The 20,657-nt window shown below is 35.7% G+C and overlaps 2 protein-coding genes across 34 annotated transcripts in view, besides 2 other annotated features; one reads left to right on the top strand and one right to left on the bottom strand.

The window, feature by feature from the left end:
* DTWD1 (DTW motif tRNA-uridine aminocarboxypropyltransferase 1) overlaps positions 1–20,195 on the bottom strand; it is a 35,185-nt gene extending 14,990 nt beyond the window's left edge. For 2 of the 10 annotated variants that reach the window (NM_020234.6, XM_017022425.2), the window contains exons 1-5: positions 20,121–20,195; positions 17,445–17,572; positions 15,812–16,130; positions 8,941–9,084; positions 6,449–6,707 (exon numbers count right to left, since the gene is read on the bottom strand). In NM_020234.6, coding sequence (NP_064619.2) covers positions 6,449–6,707; positions 8,941–9,084; positions 15,812–16,075 — 667 coding nt within the window. In that variant the 5' untranslated portion in view covers positions 16,076–16,130; positions 17,445–17,572; positions 20,121–20,195. Of the gene's footprint in view, positions 1–419; positions 3,959–6,448; positions 6,708–8,940; positions 9,085–15,811; positions 16,131–17,444; positions 17,573–18,812 lie in introns of those variants that run through there. The other 8 variants (NM_001144955.2, XM_011521815.3, XM_047432880.1 and 5 more) reach the window with 7 other exon arrangements.
* Positions 14,918–16,117: an enhancer, noted in NCBI's record as "MED14-independent group 3 enhancer chr15:49917323-49918522 (GRCh37/hg19 assembly coordinates)". NCBI's record gives its function as "activates an origin of replication core promoter dependent on BRD2, BRD4, P300/CBP and CDK7 cofactors, and independent of MED14, by STARR-seq in HCT116 cells {active_cell/tissue: HCT116}" and the evidence as "EXISTENCE:reporter gene assay evidence [ECO:0000049][PMID:35650434]".
* Positions 19,964–20,083: an enhancer, noted in NCBI's record as "active region_9388". NCBI's record gives its function as "activates an Ori minimal core promoter by ATAC-STARR-seq in GM12878 lymphoblastoid cells {active_cell/tissue: GM12878}" and the evidence as "EXISTENCE:reporter gene assay evidence [ECO:0000049][PMID:35858748]".
* A 229-nt stretch (positions 20,196–20,424) lies between the features above and the next one.
* Positions 20,425–20,657, top strand: part of FAM227B (family with sequence similarity 227 member B) — a 293,849-nt gene continuing 293,616 nt past the window's right edge. For 15 of the 24 annotated variants that reach the window (XM_017021994.2, XM_017021990.2, XM_006720426.3 and 12 more), the window contains exon 1: positions 20,425–20,612. The gene's annotated coding sequence lies outside the window, so the exon portion shown is untranslated. The remainder of the gene's footprint in view (positions 20,613–20,657) is intronic. The other 9 variants (XM_047432224.1, XM_047432222.1, XM_047432221.1 and 6 more) reach the window with 1 other exon arrangement.

The raw sequence follows: 20,657 nt of genomic DNA, 5'->3' as shown, positions 1-20,657 counted from the left end.
AATAGAAATAAAAATTAAGATGGTAGAAAGTAGATCCAATTATTTCAATACTCACAGCAATTGTAAATAAACTAAACTTAATATTTAAAAGACATAGATTATCAGATTGAAACGTGAGAAGGATGACCCCTACAATTAAATAACTGGCTTCAATTAAATATTGCATTAGAGGTCTTTCTTATTTAACATAGTAATAAAGAACAATAAATTAATTAGAAGGATAAGAACTGGAAAGAAATGCAATTGGCATTACTTACACAGAAAATACAAAAAACCTCAGGCAAATCATTAGCCACATAGTATCTTGCAGAAGAGAAGGATTCAAACAAGACACAAACATAGTGATAAATTCCACACTAAAAGTTTTTTTTCCTCAAAAGAAAAGAAATTGAAAAGATGAACCACAAACTGCAAGAAGATATTTTGCAACATTATCTATATTCTAGAATATACAAAGAATTTCTACAAATCAATTAAGATAAAACACAGAAAAATGGGCATAGATATTTCACAGAATAGGACACGTATATGGCCAAATAAACAATGTAATTATCAATCCTATTAGTAATTAGAGAAAAGTAAATGAAGATGACAATGAGACACCATTTTAAAATACTAGGTTGGCAAAAATCAGACATTTGATAATACCAAGGTAGGAGAGATTATGGATCAATGGAGCGCTTATACATTAATGATGGAAATATTCCTTTGTATGTCCACTTTGAAAAACAATTTGGCATTATCCTGTAAAGGTGAATATTCTCATACTCAACAACTCAGCAATGTGACTCCTAGGGATGTTTCCTAGAGGAGCTTGTACTTGCACAAGAATGTGTGTAGTAGCATTATTTGCAATAGGAAAAACTAGAAATAACCAAAGTGTTTCATTAGCAGGAAACCAGATAAACTGTAGTATATCACAGATATTATTCAGCAGTGAAATAGAATAAACTATAGCTACAGTGATATGACAATATATATAAACCCTAGAAACAAAATGTGACTTTAGAAAGCAAGTCCCAAGAAAACAACACACAGCTCAAAATAAAGCAAAACTAAATCATATATAGTTTATGAAAACATATATATAACACTATAATCTAAAAAAGCATAATTCAGGAAAATAACTGTCAGGGGAAGAAGGGGAATGGCACAAGGGAAAACATAGGTAAATGGAAGTTAGAAATACTGGTGCTTGAGTTCTTAATTGTTCATTATATCACTATGCTTTATAACTTAATGTTACATATACGTGTGTGTGTGTATATATTATTTCATATGTATCACAATTTATTTAAAAATATAAAACAGTTAAAAACAAACAAACAAAACCTCTTTGCTTATTTAGTGAAGGAATTGGAGCTTGAAGTCATGTCCCAGCCCAATTCTTTCCATTAGACTTAAAATACAATCTAATCATGTCAATGACAAGCTTAAAAATTTTTTAATGATGCCACAGCACTATGGATAAAAGAACAAATGCCCAAGCATGCTGAATAAAATATGACATTCATAATTTGAATTTCTCCAGTCTCTTTTACCATTCTCATATATGTATGCATTCTAGACAACATTAAATATTTCAGTTTCTTGAATGCAAAATATTTTTTATACCCTAGTATTTCTAACAATCAGTAACTTTATAATAAAATTATAGTAAAAATCGTAAACATTTTTTCTTGAGGTGGGATTTTGCTCTGTTGTCCAGGCTGGAGTTCAGTGGCATGAGCATAGCTCACCGCATCCTTGAACTCCTGGGCTCAAGCAATCCTCCTGCCTCAGTCTCCCAAGTACCTAAGACTACAGGTGCACACTACCACGCCTTGCTAATTACTTTATTTTTTGTTGAGATGTAGGCCTTGCTATGTTGCCTAGGCTAGTCTAGAACTCCTGTGTTCAAGTGATACTCCCACCTTCATCTCCCAAAGTGCTGGGATTACAGGAATGAGCCACTACACCTGGCTCAAAACTAGTAAAATATTTTAGCAGTAGAAACTTAAAGTAGATAATTACAAATGGCTTTTCCTTCCAAAAGTGCTGCCTCAGTTTCTTCAATTGCAAAGTGAGGGTGACATCCTTTACCTCATATATTTGATGTGAGGATTGAATAAGGTAGTATAGGACACAGCACTCACTGACAGGGAGTGTAGTTTAGGCAAAGCTTATAATATGAATAAAGTTATCACTTTAAAAGTTGTATCAATACAGTCAAACTGAAGGGAAAGAGCTGGCTAATTTTTATAACCAATTACAGTATAATGCCATTTAAATATAATTTGGACTCACATCCAACAAAAAGAAACAATGTCTCCCCCTACATTCTGCCAAGGCTTCCTATGATAAATCTTTAAGAATGTTATATCATTCTTCACCTGTAGGTTTAGGTTTACCTTTTATAATTAAATTAGGCACTCTACCTTCAAGTGTTTTATTTTGACACTGGTAGAACACACAGAGCTATTTTTCTGTAAAAATTTGGCAAAACAGTAAGGTTTTACATTGTTAAAGGGATTCTTAACCTCAGCATTCATAGTAAAATAATGGAAACATAATTTCCAATACACCTGAGGGTTTAATTGAGGTATAGACTCAGTTTGTTCAGATTAATCTCACGAAATGACGAAGTTTTAAAGCCTAAAGCCAACAATTTATAAAAACCATGGATTGTTTCTTATGGAAGTAACTCGGTTTATTCAGAAATCAGTATTTCACATATACAGAGGTTATAGATATGTATAGAGCCCTAATTGTTTCCTGTGGTGCAATGAAGAGCCACAAAGGACAGGGGTTGAAGTAGGTCATGCAGAAAACTTGCCTTTAGAAATCTGTTCCTTTTATGATTTTAAAGAGATTAAGAAGCCCCTTTAAAAATTTTTGATCTAGCACAGAACTGAAATATATGATACTTTCCATGTGAATTGGGAAGGAATAACAAAAATCTTTTGTACAAATCTGATTTTAGGCAAGCCAAATTTGGACACTCTGAAAAGAGATTTTGAATAATACCACAATAATTCCTTTTATAGTTTTGTCAAGGGTTTTTACTTATGTTTTTTCATTTATCTTTTCAATTACCATATAAGGTAACTATAAAGAAAAATGGCTCAGAAAAATCTTCAAACTGGCAAGTAACCTGCTGCTGTAAACATCCACAGGAATGTGGCAGGCAGTGTTCCCTTTCTCTCTTTCAAAGAGCACAGCCTTAGGGCTTAGGCGTTTGTCTTTCTATCAAACATCGGCAACAAAATTTCTTAAAGATCTTATGCTCCGTAGTACCTGCCCTTCACTCTCTCCCACACACATAAGACACAAAGCGCACACAATTAGACTTTCAAAGCAACTTTACTAATGTGTATGAAGATCTCAGATGCATAAACTATATAAATTAAGCTCGTTAAATCTAGTGTTGTCACTCACTTCAGCTTGGAATTAATGAACACCAATCAGACTCCAAAAAGTGTCAAAATGTTCTTTTCTAGATAATGCACATTTTTAACACTAGCCTGAGAGAAGCTCTCCCAGTTTGAAACAAACTGTTTTAGCAACTGCCTAATATCAACTGAATAGCTTTCTTGCCTTCTAATCATACATGGACAAGTAAAGTAACTGTTTTAAATCACTATTATTAGGAACCAAGTTTTTCACTCTAAAAGAAATAAAAATCCTTATAATGTTAAATATGAATTGGAACTATCTGTGTGAACTCATGATACATAACTATGTATTTTTCCTGGCTCTATCCATTGAAGCAATGACATCCCAAAAGTAATGAATTTACCAGATCTTAGTTTCTAATACCATTTCCTATTAAAAGAAACTATAGCTTCTTAGAAAAACAATTGATTCCAGGTCTGAGACAGAAAAAAAGTACAAGTGAACTTGCCTGTTGCACCAAAAAGACAAATGAGGCCATGCCATGAAGTACTTGAAGGGTTTCCACTGGCAAAATTTGAGAGAACTAGAGCATCAAAAAGATTATTATCAAAAAGATTAGCATCTTTATTGATGCTACACTATAATTTATTATAGCATATTGAATTAAAAAGAAAATCCATAAGATCATAATGATCTCAAAAAGGGGTGGAAAGAGAAAGAAATAAAGAACAGGAGAAAAAGGAAAAGCTCTTCTTTACATAAGAATACTGGCTAACTAATGTAGGAAGAAATCATGTAATTAAAATTTCACTATTTTTCAATTCTCAATGTAATTATTCAATTTATGCAGGGATCATCAATGAATACTAAAATCACTGGTGAAAAGTTTTTGGGAAACAGTCCACAGTCTGAAAACATCACCCCATAGATTACCACTACTTACAAAGAGAAAAAATAAACCTTTATAATGGAGAGATGGGGTAATCACCACTTTAATCAAGTAATGAAAGTTATCACAAATGATAGACAATTTGCATTATGTGCCTCCTAATTTGATGCAACAATAAAGTATGAATTCACCTATGAATTGGTTAGCCATACAATTTATCAGCTAAAAGGTTCATTTCTGAGAGTAAAATTACATGTTATTAATAATTATACCCAAACGATAGATATAAACTAGACATAGACAACCCTGGATTTATCCTTACCTGTAAGTATCCTAGGCAACATATTTAGACTGAAACTAATCACAATGAAACATTCAGACAATTGACCTGTCCTCTTCACAAAAGTCTAAGTCATGAAAAATAAAAACAGGACTACTCTAGATTAAAAGAGACTAAAGATACATAATAATGAAATAAACCGTGACGAGTTTAAATGCTATATGGGGGGAAGCTACAAAAGGTATTTTTGGGTCAGTTAGGGAAATTTGAATATGGACAGTATATTAGATGATATTATGTAATTTTCATTAATTTTCTTAGGAGTGATAATGGTACTGTATTTATTATACAGGAGAACATCCTTTTTTTTTTTTTTTACACAAGTGTCATAGCAACTTTATTTGAAATAGTAGAAAATGGGAAACAACCAGTGTAAATGTCCATCAACAGATAAATAGATAACACTAATTGTAGCATATCCATACAACGAAATACTACTTGGCAATAAATGTATGACCTATTGATACATGCTACAACAAAAATGAGTGTCAAGTTATTTATTTTGTGTGAGAAAGCCAAACCAAAAAAAGGAAAAGAGTACATACTATATGATTCAATTTCTATAATATCCCAGAAAATGCATCTAATCTATAATGATTAGATATAGATCATTGATTAGAGATGGGGTTGGAGAGTGTGGAAGTGTGCTGTGGGGAAAGCTGGATGAGAAAGATTATAAAAGGTCAGGCAGAAACTTTGGCAGGGGATGGACAGGTTCATTTCCTAACTTGTAGTGATGGTCTCACAGCTGTACACATATGAGAAAACTTTAATACTCTGGAAACATGTAGTTTACTACATGTTAATTCTTACTCAAAAAAGTTATTTTTAAAAACTGTAAGGAAGGCTGCGCGTGGTGGCTCACACCTGTAATCCCAGCACTTTGGGAGGCCAGGGCAGGCAGATCACCTGAGGTCAGGAGTTAGAGACCAGCCTGGCCAATATGGTGAAACCCGTCTCTATGAAAATACAAAAAAATTAGCCAGGCGTGGTGATGGTGTGCCTGTAATCCCAGCTACTAGCGAGGCTGAGGCAGGAGAATCGCCTGACCCCAGGAGGCAGAGGTTGCAGTGAGCTGAGATTGCACCACTGCTAGCCTGGGTAACAGAGCAAGACTCCCTCTCAAAAACAAACAAACAAACAACAACAAGAACAACAAAAAACCTGTAAGGCAAAAAACAAAAAAAACAAAATAGAAGATCTAACTTCTTAGTAAATGTATTCACCATTAGGGTGTTTATAAAAGAGATGTCATTCTTTATTAATATAGGAGAATATTCTTATTCTTAGAAAATGTACACTTAGGCTGGACGTGGTAGCTCATGCCTATAATCCCAGCACTTTGGGAGGCCAAGGCAGGAGGATCACCTGAGGTCAGGAGTTTGAGACCAGCCTGGCCAACATGATGAATCCCCGTCTCTACTAATAATACAAAATTTAGGCAGGTGTGGTGGTGGGCGCCTGTAATCCCAGCTACCTGGGAGGCTGAGGTGGGAGGATCACTTGAACCCAGGAGGAGGAGGTTGCAGTGAGCCAAGATTGTGCCATTGCACTCCAGCCTGGGCAACAGAGTGGGACTGTCTCAAGAAAAAAAAGGAAAATGTACACTTAATATTTAAGGGTGAAGTGTTACAAAGCCTGAAACTTACTTTCAATTGATCAACCAAAAAATATATAATATATAAATACACACTCACATATATAATAAAAAGAGAGAAATAAAGTAAATATGGCAAAATGTATAGGTATTCAGTGTAACTCCTCTTTCAAATTATCTGTAAGTTTGAAGTTTTTTCAAAATAAGTCTGAGGGAGGAGCAGTCCAAAAAAACATTTTTTTTTTACCTTGAAGTCGCTCATCAGTGAATATTTTGTTTGTTTGGTTCCAGGTGCTATCTATAAATATAATTTTTTTCAGTGTTGTGCCTTTGCACTTGCTGTCATTCAAATCACAGAACTCTTGTTCTTCAGTTCTTTTGCGTTTAAAAGATGGCTTGTCAGGGTCATCATTTTTGCCTCTAACATTATTTTGAATCCTTTTTTGCAGATGAAAAGAAATATCTTTTATTGAGATAGACTGAGGTCCAGGAAAAATGAGTGCAACCTAAAACAAAGAAAATTGGGTTAGCAGTGTGCTACTATGATCTTCAAAATATATAAATTTTGATTGACTTAAAATTTTAAGAAAGATATGTTGAATATCTGAGAAATAAGCATTAGGTTGGTTCTATTGTATATGGTTCTTTAATATGTATGGTAAAGTTTTTGGCTCTCCCCTAGTAATTTATAATCATAATATAATAATTAAAACTATTATTTCAAAATAAGTTATTCACTGACTGATAGATGCCAAGTTAGTCATACTTGAAATAAAAAGACTAAATTATATAATTTTTCATAAGATAAAAAGCAAAGTACATGATACTTCGTAAAAGAACCACTGAAAACTGTTCAATGATTAAATGCCATTTTCATCTATATCATAAGCCAAAGATAAAACAAATGATACAGTGAATGCTGGTGAGGAAATGGTGGTCTGAGAGCAGGATTAAATAGCATAACTCTTCATGGAAGCAATTTGACCATTTAAATCAAGAGTCTTAAAATATTCATACCCTTTGGTTCAACGATCTCATTATGTGAATGTAATAAAATAATCCTAAACACAGACACTTACAATATCTAAGTATATTTATTACAGTGAAAAATTAAAATGAAAAAATCTAACCTTCCAGGAAAAATTACATAAATATGATACCACTTTTCTTTCCGCACATTTTTACTGAGATTTATATTGTTAGAGCTTCCAATGTCTGAACAGCTCCTGGCACAAAGCAGGCACCAAGTAAATATTTGTTAAATGAATAAATGTTGGAGAATCAAGGGAATTTTATCCCCATATGTTTCTCTATTTCCCAAATTTTCTTCAATGAGCACACAAATTTTTAAAATAAAAAGATAAAAACAAAATCACAATAAAATAAAATTATGAAACAAAAAATCTTGGCCGGGCACAGTGGCTCATACCTGTAATCCCGGCACTTTGGGAGGCCAAGGTGAGAGGATCACTTGAGCCCTAGGAGTTCGAGACCAGTCTGGGCAACATAGTGAGACCTGTCTCTACAAAGAATAAAAATATTAGCTGGAAGTAGTGGCGCACACCCATGGCCTCAGCTACTCGGGAGCCTGAGGTATGGGGATTGCTTGGGCCCAGAAATTTAAGGCTGCAGCAAGCTGTGATCATGCCAATGCATTCCAACCTGAGCAACAGAGCACGACTCTTAAAAAGCAAAAACCTTGAATTTTATACATTTCAAAGTTGTAAAAGTTTTTAAATATTCATAATACATGTCTATATTTCCCCCTATATCCAGTTAGCAAAGTCCAGGGCTTCTGAATTTTCTTAAATTATAAGCGTATCACATCTCCTTACAGAACATAGCACTACATTCTATTTAATCAACATAAATGGAGTCTAGCTGACCAGAGAAAGAAACATTTTCCTAGATCCAAAACTCAAATATTATTTACAAACATAATTTTTTATATAAACTCAACCAAAAAAATACATATATATATATATATATATAGATATAGATATAAATAGGAAAGTAAAAATTTACCAAGTTCTTCCTGGAACAAATGAATGCACTAATTTTTAATTTTGTTTCTATACTAGCCACACCAACAAATGGCCTCCAAGAGACCAAAAGGCTTTTACATGCTTCTTTCAGTACCCAAGGCCTTAATTTTTTGAGACACATTGTAAAATTACTTTTCAGCAAGAAGACCCATAATTTCTCACCAATGTGACAATTGCAACTGGGTGAAAACCAATTAAGAATCTAAAAATGAGCAAGGAAGGCCTCTGAGCAGCCAAAAGAAATGTTATAAAGGCTATGCACTAAAGCTCTTAATTTAGGAGGATTCCTGAATATCCTAACTCAGTCTTTCTTCTTTTAGAGAAATTCCAACAATATTTGTAATCTGGTTTCCCAGTTTGCATCAAATTAGATCATCTATATGTAGCACAAACAGGAGAAGGAGAGGAGAAAAGGTAAAAGCAGGCACAATAGTATTGGCAAGGAGTAAAAACCTGAAGAAATAAGGCAGAAGAGCTATAAAATGCAGAAAGACTCAAAAACGCATAGCAGTCTAGAAACATCTGATCTTTGAAGATATCAATGAAATAAACTGTATATTGTCTAACATTACCTGAGCATAATACTTTACTAAGAAAAATATTAAATTATGTTTGAGTAAGTTCAGAAAGGCAATGGAGGTTAAAATTCATTTTTATATCCAATGTGAAGAGTTATAAAAACTAAGTTGCCTACTTCATGGTCCTTTTCTTCATATTCTGGAATACACGGATACGTGTAAATGTTTACAAATTCAGGTGCTAAGAGTTTTGCATGTATAGCAGTACTTTTGCCATCTGTTTCATTTGGATGTTTAATGATGTCAATCTTCAATGGAAGCTAAAGGTAAAAAAAGCACAAATAAAAAAATATATAAACATTTTAATTTTTATGTTAATAAAAAGGGTCTTTAAAGCTAAATAGGAAGCTCACAATAAACTCCTATAAATATGCATATGGTTTAAAAGATATACCATAATATTAAGAATGGTGATTGTTACAAAACCAACCCAAATTTCTTCCTTGGCATTGTTATTCATGTATTAGGACAACTATTTTCAACTCATTTAACAGAGAATCTTCTCTTAAAGCAAAGCTCCAATGTCATTTTCACTTAAGTTATATTAACTCCAATTCTTTGCATTTCACCATGTGTGCCAAGGACATTTTAATAAATCCTATAAACTTTAGGTTTGCCTATTTTATGCCATTTTATTTTATTTTTATTTATTTATCTTGAGATGGACTCTCACTCTGCCACCCAGGCTGCAGTGCAGTGGTGTGATCTCGGCTCACTGCAACCTCCGTCTCCTGGGTTAAGCAATTCTGCCCCAGCCTCCCAAGTAGCTGGCATTACAGGCACCTGCCACCATGCCCAGCTAATTGTTGTATTTTTTTAGTAGAGACAGGTTTTCACCATGTTGGCCAGGTTGGTCTTGAACTCCTGACCTCAAGCGATCTGCCTGCCTCAGCCTCCCAAAGTGCTGAGATTACCAGTGAGCCACCACACCTGGCCTCTTACGCTATTTTAAAAAGAAATGTAAGTTTGGGCAAAAAGCTTCAGATCTAAAATTCAAGTTGAAATTCTGTTCCTTAGACATACTTTCAAGTCAAAACTGTTATCCTTTGCAGGAAACATCATGATTTTCGGCATCACATTTTCAATAGCACAAATTAAATAATTATCAATTAAAAAATAGTAACAATAGACCTAAGAGGTGTAATCTTTATATCACAAAACTGTCTTCAAAATCATCTTGCCTAACTACTCCCCAATCTTTCTGGCACCAAGAAGGACTGGTTTCGTGGAAGACAATTTTTCCACAGACCAGGGTTTGGGGAGAGGGTTTGGGGATGATTCAAGCACATTACACTTATTGTGCACTTTATTTCTATTATTATTACATTATAATATATAATGAAATAATTATACAACTCACCATAATGTAAAATCAGCAGGATCCCTGAGCTGGTTTTCCTGCAACTTGATGGTCCCATCTAGGACATGGGAGACAGTGACAGATCTTCAGGCATTGGATTCTCCTAAGGAGCATGCAATCTAGGTCCCTTGTATGCACAGTTCACAATAGGGTTCATGCTCCTATGAGAATCTAATGCTGCCGCTGATCTGACAGGAGGCAGAGCTCAGGTGGTAATGCGAGTGATGGGGAGCGGCTGTAAATACAGACGGAAGCTTCGCTTGCTCTCCAGCAGCTCACCTCTTGGTGTGCGGCCTGGTTCCTTAGGACCGGTACTGGTCTGTGGTCTGGGGATTGGGGACCCCTGTTGCCTAAGTATTTCCCTTGAAGTTTCATTATTTGTTATAGATGTTGTCTGTAACATGTCTCTATGCAAAAATAATATTCTCTTGGATTTTGTAAATTATATTTTTCTTATTTCACTTTGGCTTTTTTGGTTTAGCTCTCTTTGTAATGCTTATACAAGTACTGCATTCAGCCATGATTATGAAAAAAATGCCAAATCATATCTCCCTTACTATATATAAGAAACCCTCTGGAGATGTGTTCTTGACTTCAGCTTTTAAATGACCTTTTGTTTTATTTGGTAGTTCCCACCATCTCCAAGTTCCCATCCCATGCTAAATAAGTAGGATTCTAGGAATTTACCCTGGGCACACTATTTTACCCTGGAGGACAAAACTATTTTTCTTATGTCTTAAACTGTACATATTTAAAGTGTACAATCTAATAAGTTTTAACATATGTTAAATTCTTGAATCCACTGCTACAGTCAAAATAATGATTTGCCACTATCAAAAGTCTTCTCAAGCCCTTCTTCCTTCTCCTCTCACCATCAACAATTGCCCTCCTCAGGCAATCAGTAATCCACTGCCACTATAGTTTGTACTTTCTAGAATTTTATATAAATGAAATCATACAATATACCCTCTTCATTTGACTTTAGCTAAGAATAATTATTTTGAGGTTCTTCCATGTTGTGTGTGTGTGTGTGTCATTAGTTCCAAAACTATTTTTGAATGGAGCAGCTACTAAATAATTTCAATTTCAAATTTTTTTCTTCCTGGACAATTATGTTGGGGACAGAACAGTATAAATAATACACCCCTGGAGGACCTTGGCCTACAAATGAATTCCTCAAATAGTTTTCAATTAGGGTTTCAAATGCTGTATCTCCTACCCTCCCCGCTTAGGCCTAGCAATCATTTATAAGTTAGGCCCAATGATCATTTATAAGTTAGGCCCAATTGCTTCTAATCATCAAACCAACTTCTAGTTATGGAAAATTTACCATTTAAGTAGGCAGTTCACAAATGATTTTACATCAGTCTACTTCTGGCTGAACACTACATCAGAGTTTCCTCATGACGCTCGGTCTCAGTTGAAACTACCTTCCCTCTCCCTAGGGTCTCTGAGCACCACATCAGTATTATCTTAGCCCAGGGAAGGTAGGAAGTAAGAAAAGAAAAAAAAGCAGATCATGACAAGAAAAGAAAAAGAAAGCAGATCATAAATGTGAACTTCTTATATGGCTGATGAGTAAAGCTGAAAATTCCAAAAGTTATCAATATTTCTGATCAGCTAGCTATCTTGGAGGGTATCATTTATATCAAGAACACAGGAGTGTTATTGACAAATTTTATAAATCATGTGCCTAGCCTATTTTTTTAATTATATGATAAAAGAAAAAGCTTTATGAACTAAAGTCTGCAAGCATAATTATGCAAAACCTGTACACAATCCAAGGTATTGTTAGTTTTCCATGAGCGTGAGATCTCTCACATCATAAAACCAAAGCACAGAAACAGATCAAATCATGGAAATCCATGTTTGTGTTCTAGTTCACACATGTTAAAAGAAGATTATTTCTTAAATAATGACAAGAGTACAGAGTAACAAAATAGTGTTGACCACACAGGAACAGAAAACCAAACAACGCATGTTCTCACTCATAAGTGGGAGTTGAACAAGGAGAACACATGGACACAGGGAGGGGAACATCACACACTGGAGCCCGTCTGGGGGTGGGGAGCTAGGGGAGGGATAGCATTAGGAGCAATACCTAATGTAGATGATGGGTGCAGCAAACTACCAGGGCACATGTGTATCAATGTAACAAACCTGCAAGTTCTGCACATGTATCCAAGAACTTAAAGTATAATTAAAAAAGAAAGAAAAAAAATTTGCTTTTTTACAAGCTACAAAAACATTTGCTCTGAGGCTTCGTATGGACATTAAAGCTTAACTGTGTTTAAAAAAAAAAAATAGTGTTGACCAGAGGGCAGTCTGAGTAGAGACATTCTGTTTTCAAACAAGTAAAGAATATCAATCTGCTCTCGAACACTTATGTTTTATAAAAGAGACTTACCACAAATCCTTCTGCCCAAGTTTATCAAAATGCTACTGACAAGGAGACCTAAGCATTTTCCCATGGGATTATCAACTTTCCCCAAGAGAGCCTTTTAAATTCTAGGCTCTAAATGCCTATGGCCTAGCGAAGTGTAACCATTGTAACATTGCACCACAGTGCAGTACTTATATGCTTGTGATGATGCTGATGTAAACAAACTTACTGCACTGCCAGTCATATAAAAGCATGCTATACAATAATGTTTAATAATGATAATATAAATCTGTTACTGGTTTATATATTTGCTATACTACACTTAATTTTTTTAGTTTTAGAGTACACTCATCCTAATTAGAAAAAAGAAATGTTAACTGTAAAATAGCCTCAGGCAGGTCCTTAAGGAGGTATTCCAGAAGAAGGCATTGCTATCATAGGAGATGACAGCTCCATACATTACCCCTGAAGAGCTTCCAGTGGGACAAGATGTGGAGGTGGAAGAAGACAGTGATACTGATGATCCTGACACTGTGTAAGCCTAGGGTAACGTGTTTGTGTCTTGGTTTTCAACAAAAAAAGTTTAAAAAGTAAAAATAAATAAATAATAAAAATAGGAATAAGGTTACAGAATAAGAGCATAAAGAAATATTTTTGTTCAGCTGTGCAATGTGTTTGTGTTTAAATGTAAGTGTTATCACAAGTTTTTTAAAAAGTTTATAAAGTAAAAAAGTCACAGTAAGCTAATTTATTATTGAAGAAAAATATTTTTCATAAATGTAGTGTACCCTAAGTATACAGTGTTTATAAAAACTACAGTAGTGTACAGTAACATCACAGGCCTTCACATTCACTCACAAGTCACCACTGACTCACCAAGAAAAACTTCCAGTCCTGCAAATTCCATTCATGCTAAGTGCCCATAAAGGATTACTATTTTTATACTGTACTTCTACTGTACTTTTCTATGCTTATATTTGTTTAGATACACTAATACCATTGTGTGTACAACTGTGTACAGTATGCAGTACAATAACATGCTGTACAGATTTTGTAGGCTAGGAGCAATAGGTATTGCCCAGGTGTATAGTAGGCTATACTATGAAGGTTGTGTAAGTACATTCTATTATGTTTGCACAACAGTGAATTTGCCTAACGACTCATTTCTCAGGACACATTTCTCAGGATGTATCCCTGTCATTAGGAGACATATGACTATATTTATGAATGCATTCCCTAGACTAAAATTGGGAGGGAATTACTCATTATATTGTCATCCTCCTTTCCCAAGTAGGCTATCTAAAAGCAAATGCTGAATGATTTGTTAAAATAAAAATAAAGTAAAAATTGGAAAGGACATTTTGTAGAGCTGTTATTACCATTAATGTATATTAAAGTATCAAATTTTATACAAGGCCATTAAAATATAAACACTTTAGAAAACTCTGCACAGTCCAGACCATTGAGAGATGATCAAACACTAATGTCTTGAGTCATTTCTATTAAATGGTGTATATTAGACCACTGATTTGGAAAATACCCTCTATTATTAAATATCTATGAAAATATCAGCCCTGTAACTATATTACTGATTATTATTATTATAATATGCAATCCATTTTTTAATACAATACACCTTAGGATAAAACTTTTAATGGAATCCCTTCTTTACATGGCTATGAGAGAAATGTAAAATAGAATAATTCTACGTATACTTCAAAAACCATACTTCAAAATGTAACATTCCTGTAAGATAATGGGAAACTTGAAAATAATTATTACCCTCAAGTTCTTGTTTTTTCGGAGCAAACTGTGAAGATCATATTAAATTCCACACTTACTTATTCTTGGCTAGTAAACTTTCCATTAGCCTATACATGTGATTTTAGATGCTGAGGAGACCATGGACTGGCCAAGATGATATAGGCTAAACTGAAATTCAAATAAAATATGAGTGTCAAAGTACTCTTCTTACTTCAAATTCAAATGAACTTTAAAATCATCAAAACAAATTTTAAAATATAGCTACAACTTATTTTTTTTTTACTGGCAAGTTCTAATGAGTCCATGTGTAGAATTTAGTCTCTCTAAAGTCTTACACAGTCAAATTTTATACATTAATTGATTTATTCCTAAAGTTTGGGATAATGTTAGACAAGTTAACATATATATAATAAATTCTTTGATTATGTAGACATGACGTTCTACAGACCTTTTACCTATACAAAAGTAGTGTTGGTGAGCCCAAAAAGTATAAAGGTAAGCAATCAAATCGGGCTTAAAATCACTCTAATGATAACACAGCCCAGGGAATTGGTCTTAGTTTTTAAATTTTACTTTATTTTCATTTTGGTCAATGAAATCTGCTCCATCCCCATGTATAGGATAAGTCACAAAATCTTAGGTGAAAATCAACTCTAATTCTACTAGAATAGTATTTTCTCAAGGAGCAGTCCAAAGACATGAGTGTTTGGAGCTCCTTCAGGGTGTCTATAAACTTTTTTTTTAGTATTCATAAGTTTATATCACACATTTTTTCCCATGTTGTAAATAAATTAAAATCATTAATGAAAAATTAATTGGTTTCATTAAAAACACCATTTCAGACCCAGAGACAAGAAAAACAAAGAGGTTTAGTGGTCTGTAGGGCTAAATTTTCCATAAATACACTTGGTTTTCATGCTAGGAATGATAAATTCCTCTTCAAAATGTTTAATTGTGTGATGTTCTTATTCTTTGTTCAGAAGCCCAAGCTCCTTGTACTCTCGTTTCCAGCCTGCAAACAACCCTCCCACTCTTGTTGTGCCCTGACATGGCCAAACATGTCCAGACATGCCTTATACTATAGTGGACAGACCACTCCTAACCCCTCCTTTTACAAATCGTGCATTTACCCTATTTGGAAAATTTTAAGTCTTAGCCAACTGGAATCAGTTTTGATTGTGTGGTCCAACCCTAGCCAATAAGGGAAGGACACAGGGACAGGAACTGCATTAGGGTTAAAAATCCCTTCCTTCCTTTGTTCGGTGTGCTCTTGCGATCAGGCGCAGCACCCTTCTGCAGAAGTAAATGTGCCCTGCTGAGAAATTTTCTGTCTAAGTGCTAGTTTTTCTTTGCAGCAACAAGCACTTGTTTCTAACAATAATAACATTATTTATTAAGTTTATCAATTAGAGTAGGTATACATGAGATGTTTTTAAAAAATCTATTTTCATACTTTCAAACAATTAAATTTCTTACTAACCTTCACAAGTGGAATCTGTTCAATAGGTACATTTTCAACTGGAACATAACATGTATAGCAGTAGAACATTCTGGAACCACCACATTTGAGACATTTTGATCTCCCACTTTGCTGAGCTTTTTGAAGAACTTCTTGAGATGCTAAACATAAGTTTTGAAGGGGATCTTCTGAAGCTATGGAAGTAGTTTGTGACTGTTTTGTTTCCACAAATTTTGAACTATTTTCTTCACTTCGTTTGAGAAATATAGGTGGATTGAGAGACATTCTTCATTCAAACCAAAGTTTAACGGCTATTTCTAAAACACATATCATAGGTGCACTGTAAAAAAAAAGTATCAAGAGAAGGAAAAATAAAAACAGAAAACATTTTACTCAGTCTACAAAGAAAATTACTCAATTTAAGTCACAATTGTGTGCTGTTTTAGTACTTATTAAACATGTTTTAAACCACCAAATTGGCACACTTTAAAACATAAGATTAAAAGCAATAAACTGAAAGTTATTTCAAATATAAAGTTCAGGTACTGAGAATCCATTTTTCAAGAACCCTTTTTTGTTCCAGAGATGGCAGTTTTGTTTTCCAGATATTAGGAATGCAATGGTTTCACGTTAGCATCAGACAGGGATATATTCAACCCTGTTGGCTCTGACTTTGAATTGACATTAATGAAAAATAGAAGATTCTAGTGGAATTGGCAAAATTTAGTTGGTTATGTTCTAAAAGATATAACCCTCTCCAACTTAAACACACACTACATATGTGTGAGTGTGTCTGTGTACATGTGTGCATATACATATAAAACTTCATATCCAATAAAAAATAAGAGGCATCTACTACTCATTACAATTTGTAAAATATCCCATAAGGTAAAATATATTATCCTATAAATTTTAAAAATTTACAGAGTAACATTAATGTCCACTTACTCTAAGAATTTATGTTTTTTAAAAACATACATCATTCAGATTCTTTAGTACTAGAGAAAAATGGTAAAATAACTTTCCCACTTAATATTTTCTTCAAAGAAGGGTGATGGCTGCCAAAATTGCTATCTGTATACCCTGTAAGGAAGATATCTTTCAAGGGAGAAACAACACTGGTGCCCTATTGATTCGATATGCATTCCACAGCTGTAAAATAATTCTCTTATTATAAAGCCTTCTGGCATTGTGGTTTAACTACGAAGCTCCAGGCACTTTAAGTAGAAACAGGGACAAGAGAAATGCTGTGACTCCAGCAGGAAACATTTTGTGGTCTCCCAAACAGAAAGTGAACAAAAAGTCCAGAGAAACATAAAATACAACATAATTTGCTGAGAAGAAGTTAGTGGCACTAATTTAATTACTCATCAAATGAATTTTTCTTTTTCTTTTTTTTTTTAAGATTGTAAGTCCCAGTGAGTTTGAGATACAAATAAAGAGATACAAAAACGCCGGTTATAGTAGAAAAAGGCACTTGCCAAATGTACCCAAGGGGAAAAACAAAATACAGTAAATATTTTTGCTGTGTACTGATTACGCACAGATTTGCATTTTGGGTAAGAAAGCAGTATTTAAGAACAATGGTCCAATCCCTTGTTCCTGCCTCACAAATAGAAAATCTTACCTACTTCTGACTGCCACTCCAACTCACCTGCCTAAAAATGGCTTTGATCTTTGTGATCATGCCCTCAATGACTGAAAGTGCAGGATATTAAGATGCCCTCTTTTCTTGAGCCTCAGATTCTTTTAGGAATCACATGAAAATATTAAACCGCATCCCTAGAAAATGCATATACAGACACAATATTTTGCACACAATTTCAGGAGGTTTGGAGATCTCCTAGAGTCCATCTACGACCCAGGTAAGGAAGTTCCAAGCTTGGGAAGGGCCACGCATGGTGGCTCATGCCTATAATACTAGCATTTGGGAGGTTAAGGTGGGAGGATTACTTGAGCACAAGAGTTTGAGAACAGTCTGGACAACAAAGTGAGATCCCATCTCTAAAACAGAGAAAAAAAAAAAGCTTGGGAAGAGATCCTAATAGTCCCCAGAAATGAGAGTTGCAAATGCTCTGTTGGCGTCTCTTTGCTGCACATACGAAGCTAAGTTTCACCTAAACTCTCTTTGGGTTTGTCCTGGTGTTGCCTGAGGTTCTTACAGAGAAACATTTTGAGGCTTTAATAGTCCTGAGTTATTCAGATGATGGGATTCATCCTAAAAAATGAAATTTGATTGGAGTAGCTCAACCTGACTTCATTTCCCTGGGTAATGGAGTAGCTATTTAGTGGGAATGCATGTACCACTCAAAGGCCCAGGCATAGTGGGACTGAAAAATGTAGTTCCTGTGGATGTCATGAAAGTTACTGTGGTTGCCTGACATTTAACAGAAAACTACTGGTGAGTTTTTGGAGTTATCCTAGGGCACTGAAAGTGCATTCCTCCTAGAGATACCTCAGAAATATCACTTTGCAGTTCATGGACCTGCTATCCACATAACTAAATGGATATTAGTGAAGCTTTATATAAATAACCTTCCTCTAGAAAAATCAACCACCACAAATACCTGTAAGACAGTAAAAGAGAAATGTTTATGGCTCCACCTCTTAGTTCACCTATATACTCTCACTTATGGCTGAGGTGGCCACGTAGAAGAGGCCAGCAATTGTAAATCATGGGCAGCTCCCTCCAGTGGTCTCTGAAACTACATGATCAGGGCATCTGTCCTAACCGAGCCAACAGCCTGCCTCGACTGTGAGAAAATCATTGCAAATGATTTTATTGCAAATGGGGTTATTTAAAATTTTTAAAACATACTTGTTAACATCAAATATGTGCAAGGAAGTACAATTTGAGTCATGGGGGCTAAAAAGACTTAGAAAACATAAAGACTGTTCCTAAGGAACTAACAATTTTAACACCTTGATGGTGCGTCCATCATTCTGGAACTTAAGGCTAAAAATACATTAATTTTTTATTCCTCCTTCTACCCAATTTCCACCCCAAATTAATTATACTCACCAAGTTGCATCTACCTTGTATATAATCCTCTATCTTCACTCTCAAAGTCAGGATTCTAATTCAGTTCCTTATTAACTCATAGATGGGCCACAGCAATGTCTTAAACCTCTTTGAGTACTTATTATTAGTTCCACATATTTGACATGGAAAAATGCATTTATTGTGGAGGTACTTTAGTGAATCTATCCCCTCCAGCATTCAACTCTGTAAGAGCAGATTCCTTCCCTGATCTCACCTATTCCTGATTCTTATGCAACAGCAGGAACTCAACAAACACTTGTTAACTAAATCAAAACCATTCTGCAAAACACATCCAGTAAGCATCTCACTACTGAAGTATCTGACAAACTACCTTTATGGGCCGTCTGCAGCCTAGCACAAGTGGCAGGCTGGCAATTTTTTTTTCTCCAAAATAATAACAAAAAGCTTCTACCTCTTCCATTATTGTAAGCTGACTCACCTCCCAATGGAACACTATACAGACTCCCCTGTCCTATATTGTGGACCAATTCAGTATTAGAAAAAAACCACTTCCAATTTTCTTTAGAGTGTTTTTAAGAACTTGGTCACATAGGACCTACAGGTCCAACATTCATTTTTCATAATCCAAGGTAGTAGTACCCTTTTTCATATAGGATCAATGGCCTCTCCCACACCACCCGCCATATGGTAACAAACTGTCTTGCCTTCGTTTTCATGGTGCACTGGGTTAGTCCTTACATGCTGCGATCTACAGTATTGATTTTACCATCCAACTTTGTGGGCCTGGCGACTGAAAATGTTAATATACTTCCTTATTTGTCCTACATTCCCAATAAATAATTTAGACGTAAGAAACAGGCTCTTTTGCTTATTATGTAACCACAACCTCAATATTTTAAATACACTGCATGGCATCACTAATTCTACGTCTGTACTACGCTTCCCCTTCCGTGATAACCAAACCCCCACAAACCACTCCAAATACTAAAAATAAAATAAAATAAAGTATGGGGTTCCTAGGGAACTGACTTTGCCAGGACATACTTTTCGTTGGGGCGGAATGCACCGAAAATCATTGGTAGGAAAAATAATTTTTTTTTTGAGGAAAAATTTGGAAACCTTTTTCCCAAAGGGCCCGCAAGATCCTAAAAAAAGCAAGAGACCGCGCAGAAACCGAGGATCCCCCTCACAGGCGACACCCAGCGCGACCTCCGCTAGGGTCCTGACAAAGAATGTCCACTTCCCGCGGCCGCACCTCTGGGGCCAGACCACTGGTCTCCAGAGAGGCGCGGGGACCTCCACCAGGGATCGGAGTGGTACTCAGACCTGCACACCCGCGAGTCCTCGAACAGCTCCACACGTCTCCAGCTCCGCCCGAGCCCGAGCCACGCGCCGGGCCGTGATCGCGCACGGACCAGACGGAGCGCTTTCCGGGAGACACCAGAGGGAGGAGCCAGGCAGTTACTAGCGTCGTTGCTAAGGCAGGGGCCGCGCACACCGCACACCGCGCGGCTTAAGCAACAGGCTGGGACGACAGCGGGGGGGGGGTTAGACGGGAAGTTCCGCCTCAGCCTCTCAATCAGCGGCGGTGTCGCACTTCTCCCGAGAGGCTCCGGCGAGGGGCAGGGCCGCGTTCGTCCGGGACCCGCCTCAAGCCTCGCAGCCTTTCACCCAGTTTCCTCCCGATTCTTGCTGGGACAACAAAATTGGGAAGCGGTTCTCGAAACATACTGTCAAGGCGTAGTTGCAGTGAGTTGTGAAGAAATGTTGATCCCAGAGAAAAGTTTGCATTTTGCCCACCTCAAAGATATTTTGATTGTGAGAACTTGGTTACATTAGTCTTTCGTGGCTATATCAATATCA

The sequence above is a fragment of the Homo sapiens genome, chromosome 15, assembly GCF_000001405.40.
Source record: "Homo sapiens chromosome 15, GRCh38.p14 Primary Assembly".
NCBI lineage: Eukaryota > Metazoa > Chordata > Mammalia > Primates > Hominidae > Homo > Homo sapiens.
The sequence above is the reverse complement of the archived record's forward strand: the minus strand, read 5'-3'. Positions and strand labels throughout refer to the sequence as shown.